The 12,150-nt window shown below is 33.2% G+C and overlaps 1 long non-coding RNA gene across 1 annotated transcript in view; it reads right to left on the minus strand.

Moving 5' to 3' along the window:
• Nucleotides 1-12,150, minus strand: part of LINC01446 (long intergenic non-protein coding RNA 1446) — a 156,423-nt gene that overhangs the window by 9,989 nt on the left and 134,284 nt on the right. The window lies entirely within an intron of this gene.

A 12,150-nucleotide genomic window follows, 5' to 3' on the forward strand; every position in this document is an offset into this window, starting at 1 on the left:
TATCAATTTTATCTTTTCAAAGAACCAGCTTTTTGTTTCATTTGCCTTTGTTGTTGTTGTTATTTGTTTGTTTGTTTCCATTTCATTTAGTTTTGCTCTGATGTTTGTTACTTCTTTCCCTCTGCTGGATTTGGTTTTGATTTGTTCTTGTTTCTCTAGTTCCTTGAGGTGTGACCTTAGAATGTCAATTTGTGATTTTTCAGATGTTTTGATGTTAGGCATTTATTGCTATCAACTTTCCTCTTAACACTTCCTTCATTGTATCCCAGAGGTTTTGATAAGTTATGTCACTATTATTGTTCAGTTCAAAGAATTTTTACATTTCCATCTTGATTTTATTGTTGATCCAATGATCTTTCAGGAACAGGTTATTTAATTTCTATATATTTTCATGGTGTTGAAGGTTCCTTTTGGAGTTGATTTCCAATTTCATTTCACTGTGGTCTGAGAGAGTACTTGATATAATTTTAATTTTCTTAAATTTATTGAGACTTGTTTTGTGAGCTGTCATATGGTCTATCTTGAAGAATATTCCATGTGCTGATGAAAATAATGTATATTCTGCAGTTGTTGGGTAGAATGTTCTGTAAATATCTGTTAAGCCCCTTTATTGTAGGATATAGTTTAATTCCATTGTTTCTTTGTTGTCTTTCTCTCTTGATGACCTGTCTAGTGCTGCCATTGGAGTACTGAAGTCCCCCACTATTACTGTGTTGCTGTCTATTTCAATTTGTAGGTCTAGTAGTAATTGTTTTATGAATTTTGGAGCTCCAGTATTAGGTTCAAATATACTTAGGTTTGTGATAATTTCCTGTGGAACTAATCTTTTTATCATTATATAGTAATCCTCTTTGTCTTTTTTAAAAAACTATTATTGCTTTGAAATCTGTTTCGTCTGATATAAGAATAGCTACTCCTGCTCGGTTTTGGTTTACATTTGTGTGGAGGTTTTTTTCCACCCCTTTACCTTAAGTTTATGTGAGTCTTTAAGTGTTAGGTGAGTTTTGTGAGGAAGGCAATTACTTGGTTGGTGAATCAATATCCATTCTGTCATTTTGTATCTTTTGAATGGAGCACTTAGGCCATTTACATTTAATGCTAGTATTGAGATATGAAGTACTGTTCTATTCATCATGTTAGTTGTGAAATACCTTGAATTTTTTGTATTACATTGTTGTTTAATAAACCCTTTGAGATTTATGCTTTAAGGAGGTTCTATTTTGGTGTATTTTGAAGTTCTGCCTCATGATTTAGAACTCCTTTTAGCATTCTTGTAGTGCTGGCTGGCTTGGTAGTGGCAAATTTTCTTGGCGTTTTTTGTGTGAATAAGACTGTATCTTTCCTTCATTTAAGAAGCTTAGTTTCACTGCATAAAATTCTTGGCTGAGAGTTATTTTGATTTAGGGCACTAAAGATAGGATTCCAATCCATTCTGGCTGGTAAGGTTTCTGCTGAAGAATCTGCTGTTAATTTGATAGGTTCTCTTTTATAGGTTAGTGGATGCTTTTGTCTCACTGCTCCTAGGAGTCCTTCTTTCATCTTGACTTTAGATAACCTGATTACTATGTGCCTAAGTGAAGATCTTTTTGCAATGAATTTTCCAGTTGTTCATTGAGCTTCTTGTTATTTGGATGTCTAGATCTCTAGTAAGACCAGGGAAGTTTTCCTCAATTATTTCCTCAAATAGGTTTTCCAAACTTTTAAGTTTCTCTTCTTCTTCAGGAACACCATATTCCTAGATTTGGCTGCTTAACATAACCCCAAATTTCCTGAAGGCTTTGTTCAATATTTTGGTTCTCTTTCTTTGTCTTTGTCTAATTGGGTTAATTCAAAAGCCTTGTCTTCAAGATCCAAAATTCTTTCTACTTGTTCTAGTCTATTATTGAAAATTTCCACCGCATTTTTTTATTTCTCTGAGTATGCCTTTCATTTCCAGAAGTCGTGATTGTTTTTTCTCTATGACAGCTGTCTCGCTGGAGAATTTTTCATCCATAGCATGTATTGTTTTTTAATTTCTTTCAGTTAGTTTTCACTTTTCTCTGGTATCTCCTTGAGCATCTTAACAATCAACCTGCTAAATTCTTTATCTGGCAATTCAGAGATTTCTTCTTATTTCTTCTTGGTTGGGATCCATTGCTGGGGAGCTAGTGTGATTGCTCTAGCAATTTAGTTTTGGGGGTGTTATAAAGTTTTATTTTTTCATATTACCAGATTTACTTTTCTGTGTGTGTGTGTGTGTGTGTGTGTGTGTGTGTGTGTGTGTTTCATTTGGGTAGACTAGAACAAGTGGAAGAAAGAACTTCAGATCTCAAAAACAAGGCTTTAGTTATTTTTCTTACATATTTAGAAATGAAATTGCTGGATCACATGGTAATTCCATGTTTGAGTTTTTGAGGAACCACCACAATGTTTGCAACAGCAGCTGCACCCTTTTCATTTCTAGCAGCAATGTACAAGGATTGTAATTTCTCCACAACCTTGCCTTGTAATTTTCTTTATGTGCGTGTATCGTGTGTGCAAGTGTGTTTATAATATCTGTCCAAGTGGGTGTGAAGTGGCATATCATTTTGAATTTGATTTGCATTTCCTTAATGATTAGTGCCATTCAGTTACCTTTACATGTGCTTATTAGCCGTTTGTATATCATCTCTGGATAAATGTCTATTGAAGTCTTTAGCCAATTTTTTAATTGAGTGTTTGTTTCACAATATTGTTAAAATGAAGGAATTATTTATATATTTTGGATATTAAGACCTTATCAGATGTATGATTTGCAAGTAACTTCTTCCATTTTGTGGGTTGCCTTTCCAGTTTTTTGATAGTACTGTTTAGTGTACATGAAGTACAATTTGATATATGCCTCCTTTTTGTTTCCTATACTGCTGGTGTCATATTTAAGAAATTATTGCCAAATACCAATTTATGAGCTTTACCTTGCAATTTTTTAAGAGTTTTTGTTTTGTTTTATTTAAAATTTTTTATTTTTAATTTTGGTGGCTACATAGCATATGTATTTCTGGGTAAGAGTTTTTTAAAATAATTGTTGTAGTTTTAGCTCTTTTGTTTAGTTATTTTATCCATTTTGATCCTTTTTGTAAATGATATAGGATAAGTTTCCAACTTCACTCTTGTACATGTGAATATTTAGTTTTCTCAGTATCATTTGTTGAAAAGACTATCTTATCTCCAATGAGTGGTTTTGGTACATTTGTCAAAGTCATTTCACCATGTACATGAGTTTTATTTCTAGGCTCTCTTCTATTCCATTTCTCTATGTGTCTGTCTTTATGGCAGCATTACACTTTTTATTAATAAGTATTTATAGTAAGTTATGATATCAGGATGTGTAAATCCTCTAACGTTCCACTTCTTTTCAAAATTATTTTGACTATTTATTGAAACTCCACATGAATTTTTAGGATGGTATATTTTTATTTCTGCAAAAAATTGTAGTTCAGTTTTTGAGAGGTTATTTCATCAAATTTGTAGATTGCTTTGTGTAGCTTTGATATCTGAATAATATTAAGGCTTCTAATATATGAACAAGATGAATCTTTCCACTTATTAATGTTCTCTTTCATTTCGTTCAGCAATGTTTTAAAGTTTTTAGTATAAAAATACAATGTCTTCTAGGTTAAGTTTATTCCTTAATGTTCTTTTTTTTTCTTTTTTCTTTTCTTTTCTTTTTTTTTTTTAGATGGAGATTTGCTCTTGTCACCCAGGCTGGAGTGCAATGGCAAGATCTCAACTCACTGCAACCTCTGCTTCCCCGGTTCAAGTGATTCTCCTGCCTCAGGCTCCCGAGTATCTGGGATTACAGATGCCCACCACCATGCCTGGCTATTTTCCTTTTTTAGTAGAGACGGAATTTCATCATGTTGGCTAAGCTCGTCTCAAACTCCTGACCTCAGGTGATCTACCCACCTTCGCCTCCCAAAGTGCTGGGATTACAGGCATGAGCCACTACACCGAGCCAATATTTTATTTCTTCATTCTATTTTAAATAAAGTAGTTTTCTTAATTCCATTTTAAGACTGTTCATTGTTAGCATATAGAAACACAACTAAATTTAATGTATTTATTTTGTACCTTGAAACTTTGTGGAGTATGTTTACTGGTTCTACCAGTATTTTTTCCCCCAGGGAGGGTGAATCTTGAGGGTTTTCTACATATAAGATTATGTCATTTGTAAACAGAAATAACTTTAATACTTTATTTTCAATACGTATTTAATTACTTTTTTTGTCTAATGTTCTAGCTAGAACTTCCAATACTATGTTGAATAAAATAAGTGAAAGTGGCATCCTTGCCACACTTCTCAACTGAGAGGAAATATTTTCAGCCTTTCACCTTTAGTTTAGTGGTAGCTGCAAACTTTTCAGGTCTGGCCTCTATTATTTCGAGGTAGTTTCTATCTGCTTCTTCTTAGTTGTATGTTTTTATCATGAAAGTATGTTGTATTTTTCCAAATGCTTTTTGTTCAACAAGTGAGAGAATTATTTGTACTTCTTTTACTTCATTGTTACTGAGGTATGTTATAGTCACTGATTTTTATATGCTAAGCCATCCTTGCATTCCAGGAATAAATATTACACCACTTGCACATGGTGTGTGATCCTTTAATATCCTGCTAAATTTGGGTTGCTAGTATTTTATTGAGGCATTTTGCATCAATGTTCATAAGAAATACTGGTTTGTAGTTGTATATAAATTTATATTTATATTTACATGTATGTAAATATTTATATTACATATATATGGAGAGAGTGATAGATCATTAGTCTCAGTATCAGGATAATTAATGCTGAACTAACAGAATAAGTTAGGAAACATCTTTGCGTTTTTTGGTAGGTTTGATTATTGGTTTAATTTCTTCTTAAATGTTTAATAGAATTCATTAATGAAGCCATCTGGCTAGGGCTTTTCTTTGTTGAGAAGTTGTAGATGACTGATTCAATCTCTTACTAGTTGTAAGTCTATTCAGACTTTTCTATTTCCTCGTGGTTCACTCTTGAAGGACAGTATGTTTCTAGAAATGTGTCCATTTCATCTAGCTAACTCGATCAGTTTGTGTGCAGTTTTTCATTGTCCTTTCTTATACTCCTTTTCATTTATTTAAGTTAAATAGTATTGTCCCCACTCTATGATATTAGACATTTGAATATTCTTTCTGTCTCTCTCTTTTTCTAGTCAGACTAAATAATATTTGTCAATTTTGATTTTTTTTGAAAAATCAACTTTTTGGTTTGTTGATTTTCTCTACTTTTTCATTTTATATTTTAATTATCTTCACTCTATTCTTTATCCTTAGACTGGGGTTAATTTCTTGTTTATGTAGCTACTTAAGGTGAAAATTTAAGTTATTTATTTGAGGTATTTATTTTTAAAGTAAACATCTATAGCTGTAAATTTCCCTCTTTGCACTGTTTTCTCTACATCCCATAATTGTTGGTATGTTGTGTTTTGTTTTCATTTTCCACAATACATTTTCCAGTTTTTTTATGATTTCTTCTTTGTTCTGTTGGTTGTTTGAGAGTGTGATTAATTTCTACATATTTGTGGATTTTTTCATTTTCCTTCTATTGATTTTTGTTCCTATTACATTATGATTGCAAAATATACTTTATATGGTTTTAATCTTTTATTTTTTATGAAGTAATATATGACCTATCTTCTAGAACATTCCATTAACTTGAGAAAAATGTATATTCTGCTAGTGTTAGATGGAGTGTTCTACTTATGTCCCTTAGCTCTAATTGGTCTACACTGTTTCTCATGTCATTTATTTGCTTGTTGATTTTCTATCTCTCTTTTCTATCCATTATTGAAAGTGAGAGATTTAAGTCTAGAACTATTGTTGGAGAGTTGTTAATTTGTCCCTTTCATTCTGGCGACATTTGAATCATGTATTTTGGAGGTCTGGTATTTGCCATATTCGTGTTTATAATTGTATCTACTTAGAGAATTGGCTGGTGGGCCAGAGCTTCTGTTGTTTTATAATAAAACTAAGCAACTTCAGTCTCTGAAGTAATCAACCCAGTAACCAGAAATGAAGCAGAGCATTTCTTCTTAATTCATATTTTGTAGCCCCAGCTCTTCACTAATATGCTGTCAGTCTATTTTCTGTTGCTATAACAGCATATGATATCTGGGTAATTTATAGAGAAAATAATTACTTCTTACAGCTATGGGGGTTGAGATGTCCAAGGCTGAGAAGCTGCATTTGTTGAGAGATTTCTTGCTGAGGGAGACTGTCTGCAGAGTCCTGGGGCAGTGCAGGGCAACACATGGTGAGTGGGCAGAAGGTGCTAACATACTAGCTCAGGATTCTGTTTCTCTTCTCATAGGGCTATCAGTTCCACTCCCATGACAACCTATTAATCCACTAACCCATTAACCTGTTAATCCATTAATGCATGAATGAACTAACCCACTCATGAAGGCAAAGCCCTCTTTACCCAGTCACCTCAAATACCTCATCTCTCAACACTCCCACATTGGGGACTGTTTCAACATGAGTTTTGGAGGGGACAAATATTCAAACCACAGCAAATGAGAATTCTTTCTTATCGCAGTTTCATTAGCAACCTATCAGGTCCTCTGAAATCTCTGCTTCTGCTCATGTTATGCATCTGAATCTCACACAGATGTGTTTTGTTGTTGTTTGTTTTTTGTTGTTGTTGTTGTTTTGTTTGTTTTTGACAGAGTCTCGCTCTGTCGCCCAGGCTGGAGTGCAGTGGCACGATCTTGGCTCACTGCAACCTCCGCCTCCTGGGTTCAAGCAATTCTCCTGCCTCAGTCTCCCGAGTGGCTGGAACTACAGGCGTATGCCTCCATGCCCGGCTAATTTTTTATATTTTCATAGAGACAGGGTTTCACCATGTTGCCCAGGCTGGTATCAAACTCCTGAGCTCAGGCAATCCCCCTGCCTCGGCCTCCCAAAGTGCTGGGATTACAGGCATAAGCCACTGCACCTGGCTTACGCAGATGTCTTAACAATACATTTGAAGGTATTTTTGGTTCTTTTGCTAAATGTGCATGAGTCCACTTCTATTTCAATGTCATATTTTTGTTAAGAATTTATTATTAAACAAATTATTTTGAAATGCAATAAAAATACGTGTGAGAAAAGGGGACACAGATATTTGAACCATGAGATAGAAACAGCAAACACCAAGCGAATTAGTTTTATTATACTGGGACACTATATTCTACATCATCTTTTTTTCAACGATAGTCACTTCTCAAGTAGCTATGCCTTTGGCCAGCTGGGCAGATTTCACAGCAATTAGCTTAACATTTAAAAACAGGTAGTGTCTTGTTTGTAACACTTAGAGCTTGGATTAAATTCAGATTCCCTTTTTACTAGAGAGATGTATGCAGCTATTCACTTAAACAGATGCATGTGTCTGAACAGCTGCTGATTTCAAAGTTATTTCCTGCACTTATTTATAAACATTCTGAACACATTCTCCAGTGCTACCACAGCATTGCTATAAAACTAAAAATAAAAAGGGAGAAAATCTTCCAGATGCTGCTGACTCTTTAAGTAGATCTGCTGTAGAAAATGGGCAAATAATTTCAATACTGTGCACATAGTTTTTATTGGATCTTGTGAAGCATAGTTCCCATCAAAAGATTAATTGGAATTTAACAGTAAAAAAAAAATTTGTCATGAGCATTGTCACACATCAAAATGTGAGTTATTGTTGTTTGTTTCCTTTAAGAAACAGAAAACCAGTTAGTAATTTAAGGATATAAATAAGTCAATTTCCCCAGGTTACATTTTGTCTTTGTGCAGTACCTCTATTTCAAATGCAAGTGTTCATGAAACTCATATTTTCAAAGCTAAACTGTTATGCTATGTGTTAGTTCCCAGAAATATCCTGATGGATCAGCCATCAAGAACCAATTTAGCACAATCTAAACCTTTGTACTCTACTTAAATAACTATATAATAAACACATTTTTATATTTAAGTAGATTACCAAGAAACTGCAACAAAATTATAAGTAGCAAATGTTTAATTTTTGCTCTTATAAGCACAGCCACATAAAGCATATGACAAAGAACATTTTTCTTTCATATATTATAGAAAGATATATGACTACATATCTCCATTTCAAAATGCAAACCAACCTATAAAAACATTCAAAAATTTAAACTCAGAAATGATCTAAAAATAAGTTTATACATGCACACACAGACAAGTTTTAAAACCTACGAAATGTATACACTGCATTTTGGAAGAAAATTACGCTGTGTATTTTCTTCAATCAAAATAAAAGGGGAAATTAATTATCCAATTGTCTTTGGAAAAAGTGGGGCTTCTCACAAAAGGCAAACCTTGACTTCATGTTAAATTACAAAAAAATATACGACCTAATTTTATTTACACAAACATTTGTAGTAGTGATTCTAAATAGAAGCTAAAAGTAATATATAAAATTCAATCAATTGTTAAGATAAAAAGAATTATGACAAAACATTATGTTGCCGGTAGTGATTATCTCCGGGAGTTTTTCCCTTTATGAGATATTATTAATTATATCATTAACACATTCACTAAAAAAGCAAGATTACTTTGCATGAAGTCTAATAAAATCCTTGTAGCTCACAAGGAACCAGTTATTCTTTTCCTTAAATAACACTCTTATAAAATTATTTACTGTAGTATTTTTATTTCTTAAATTTTGTGAAAATTCCATTGAGATATGTAATATGTAACTCACCTTCGAGATTCTGTATTTAATAAATTAGTAAATTTTTCATTTTCTGGGCTTCATTCACCTCTTTTATTTCTCGAAAATCTTTTTTTTTAGTTTTTAAAGTTATAGTTTTTTAAAGGTCCCCAAGTTTTATACATAGTGAACGCTAATTTGTATTGAGCACTGTTTCTGCCAGAAACTGTGCTAAAAGCTTTATGTACTTACATCATTTAATTCACAAAAGAATTCTATTAATCTTAAGAAAAATGAAGCATATAAAGATTTAGTGACTTTTCCCAGTTACATAGCTCAATTATATCAGAGAACTAGAACATAAAACCAAATCTATTTGTTTCAGAAGCATACATTCTTAACCACTACAATAAATTGCAATAAAATATTTAACAGTTTGCCCTACTGTGAATACTAAGTATATGAGCAAATTTTTCTGCCATAAGAAAATTTGGAAACATTGAGAAAAGCTTGAAAAGCAAATAAATTATGCACTTTCTTAATAAAGACACTTCTTAGAGTGTTTTTAGTAAAAATTTTCAATTAATAAAGCAAGACCGTTCAGTGGCCTAATTTATGTCTTTCACTAGATTAATGATTAATGTTATTGATGATCTCTGGACAACTTTTCTTTACAGTAAGCAAATTCCTTGATAAAGACAAAATATCTAAGGCAAATTTTAAAGCAAAACAGTCCTCCTTCTCTGGATTCCAGAAAAATACAAGAAGCAGACACGATTGCTCTTGGAAGAAACTACTACATTATTTCTATCTGTAAGGTCCTAAATAGCAGGCATGTGACTAAGTTGTCTATGCATTCCCAGGGCATTCTCAATGTCGTATGCAAAGAGGGTGATCAGTGTGTGCTTGTTGCATTCATCTATGAATTCAGTAGTCTGAACAGATGTTTCACTATGACAAAATTATCCATTTTATTATGGCAGAGATTTCTAGATATCTACCAAATCCCTATTCCTTTCCTTCTATTGGCACAGCTAGAGTACATATACCAGACTTATTATAGCATGGCTGCAGCAATGTTTCCATTAAGAGAAACGTACAACAGTTCTATCAAATTTTTATATGACTCTCCTAAACAATAGTTTTACATGTTTCTCAGTCTCACTTTCTCAGTCTATTTTTGTTTCTAATAATAAAAACTGGTATTAATATACTATTAATAATTTATCTTCACACAGAATTTTTAAATATTTATTTGCTGTATCTTACTTTGTCCAAATGAGTTCTAGATAAACCAACTTAAGTCAGATGAACAAACATTCAAGGTTTTTTGGGTTTCCATATTTCACAGTTTTATCTATAAGGGAAATGCAAAATATATGCAAATGATTAGAGAAACAATCCTGCTATGTAGATTATAAATAAACACAGTGAACTACTGGCTCACAGACAGGATATAAAATGGGACAAAATGATGTCTTTTGGACTAGTCTTTTTGAATAAATTTTATTGTGCAGATGTAAGATATACAACATGAAGTTATGTGAAACATTAGTAAAATGGTTACTATAGTGAAGGAAATTGACATAGTCATAATCTTGCATATTTACTCTTCCTTGTTTTGTGGCAAGAGCCACTAAAATCTACTCATTTTACAGTAATCCCAAATACAGTACTGTTTTATCATCCATAGTTTTCATGTACTTTAGATCTCTAGAATTACTCATCCTGCATATCTGCCACATTGAATCTATCCTCTGACCTACATCTCCCAAATTCCCCCCACTCCTGCCCCTTGTAATCATTTTTATTCTCTTTCTTTATATATTTGAACTTTTGAGATTCCACCTATATGTAAGATTGTGCAATATTTTTCTTTCTGTGTCAGGCTTATATTTCACTTAGTATAATGTCCTCCAGGTTCATCCGTGTTGTGGAAAATGGCAGGCTCTCCTTAAGGCTGAATAATATTCTATTCCATATACATTTGATGGAATAAGTATCCATGTTACAGTTTCTTTATTCATTCATCCTTCAATGACCACTTAGGTTGTTTTCATATCTCAGCTATTGTGAGTAGTCAAGATATGGAAACAACCTAAGGGGTCACTGATGGATGAATGAATAAAGATGATGGTAGTGGGAATGACATAGATGTCTCTTACTATTTTGAATTATATTCCTTCAATGCCTAATTATTTGAGGGTTTTAACATAAAGGGGTGTTGAATTTTACCAAAAGCCTTTTCTGCATCTATTGAGATAATCATGTGGTTTTGTTTGTAGTTCTCTTTATGTGATGAACCACGTTTATTGATTTGCATATGTTGAACCAAATTTGCATCCCAGTTAAAGCTTACTTGATTGTGGTGGATTCACTTTTTTTTTTTCTTCTTTTTTTGAGATGGAGTCTCCCTCTGTCGCAAGACAGAGTGCAGTGGCGTGATCTTGGCTCACTCAACTTCTGCCCCCAGGGTTTTAGCAATTCTCCTCCCTCAGCCTCCCAAGTAGCTGGGATTACAGGTGCCCACCACCACGCTCAGCTAATTCTTTTGTATTTGTAGTAGAGACAGGGTTTCACCATGTTGGCCAGGATGGTCTCGAACTCTTGACCTCAGGTGATCCACCTGCCTTGGACTCCCAAAATGCTAGGATTACAGGCGTGAGCCACCGTACCCAGCCGGTGGATTAGCTTTTTGATGTGCTGCCATGAACATGAGAGCACATCTCTCTTCATGAGGTGGTGATTTCATTTCCTTTGGGTATACATCCAGAAGAGGGATTGCTGGTCACATGGCAGTTCTAGTTTTAATTTATTTAGAAATTTTCATACTGTTTTCCATAATTGTTTCACCAATCTACATTTCCATGAACAGTGTACAAGGGTTCTCTTTTCTCGACACCCTTGCCAGCATTTTCATCTTTAATTTTTTTTCTTAAATGGATGTTCCTTTTATATTCATTAAACTGTACAATTATAATTAATCAATTTTTAGATGTATCTAACTTTTCAGAATGACATGCAAATTTAGTAAGAACACAAAAAATGCACAATGGAAAAATGCAAAAATATCTTGAGAAACTAAAATGTAATGATTTCATGACATTGCACATTTGCCTATTTTTCCCTTATAATTTAGTTTTTGGATATCTGTATATATTCTAGTCATCATCAAATATGTGGTTTGCAAAGATTTTTCTCCCAGTTTGTGGAGTGACTTTTCAGTCTATCAACACTGTATTTGATTAACAGACTATTTTATTATAATGATACTATATGTATTATTTTTTAACTTTTAGGTGTAGGGGTACATGTGCAGGTTTGTTATACAGGTAAATTGCATGTCATGAGGGTTTGGTGTACAGATTATTTCATCATCCAAGTAAAAACATAGTATGTGATAGGTAGTTTTTTGATCCTCACTCTGCTCCCACCCTCCACCCTCAAGAAGGTCCCAGTGTCTGTTGTT

Source organism: Homo sapiens, chromosome 7, assembly GCF_000001405.40.
Source record: "Homo sapiens chromosome 7, GRCh38.p14 Primary Assembly".
In the NCBI taxonomy this organism is placed as follows: domain Eukaryota; kingdom Metazoa; phylum Chordata; class Mammalia; order Primates; family Hominidae; genus Homo; species Homo sapiens.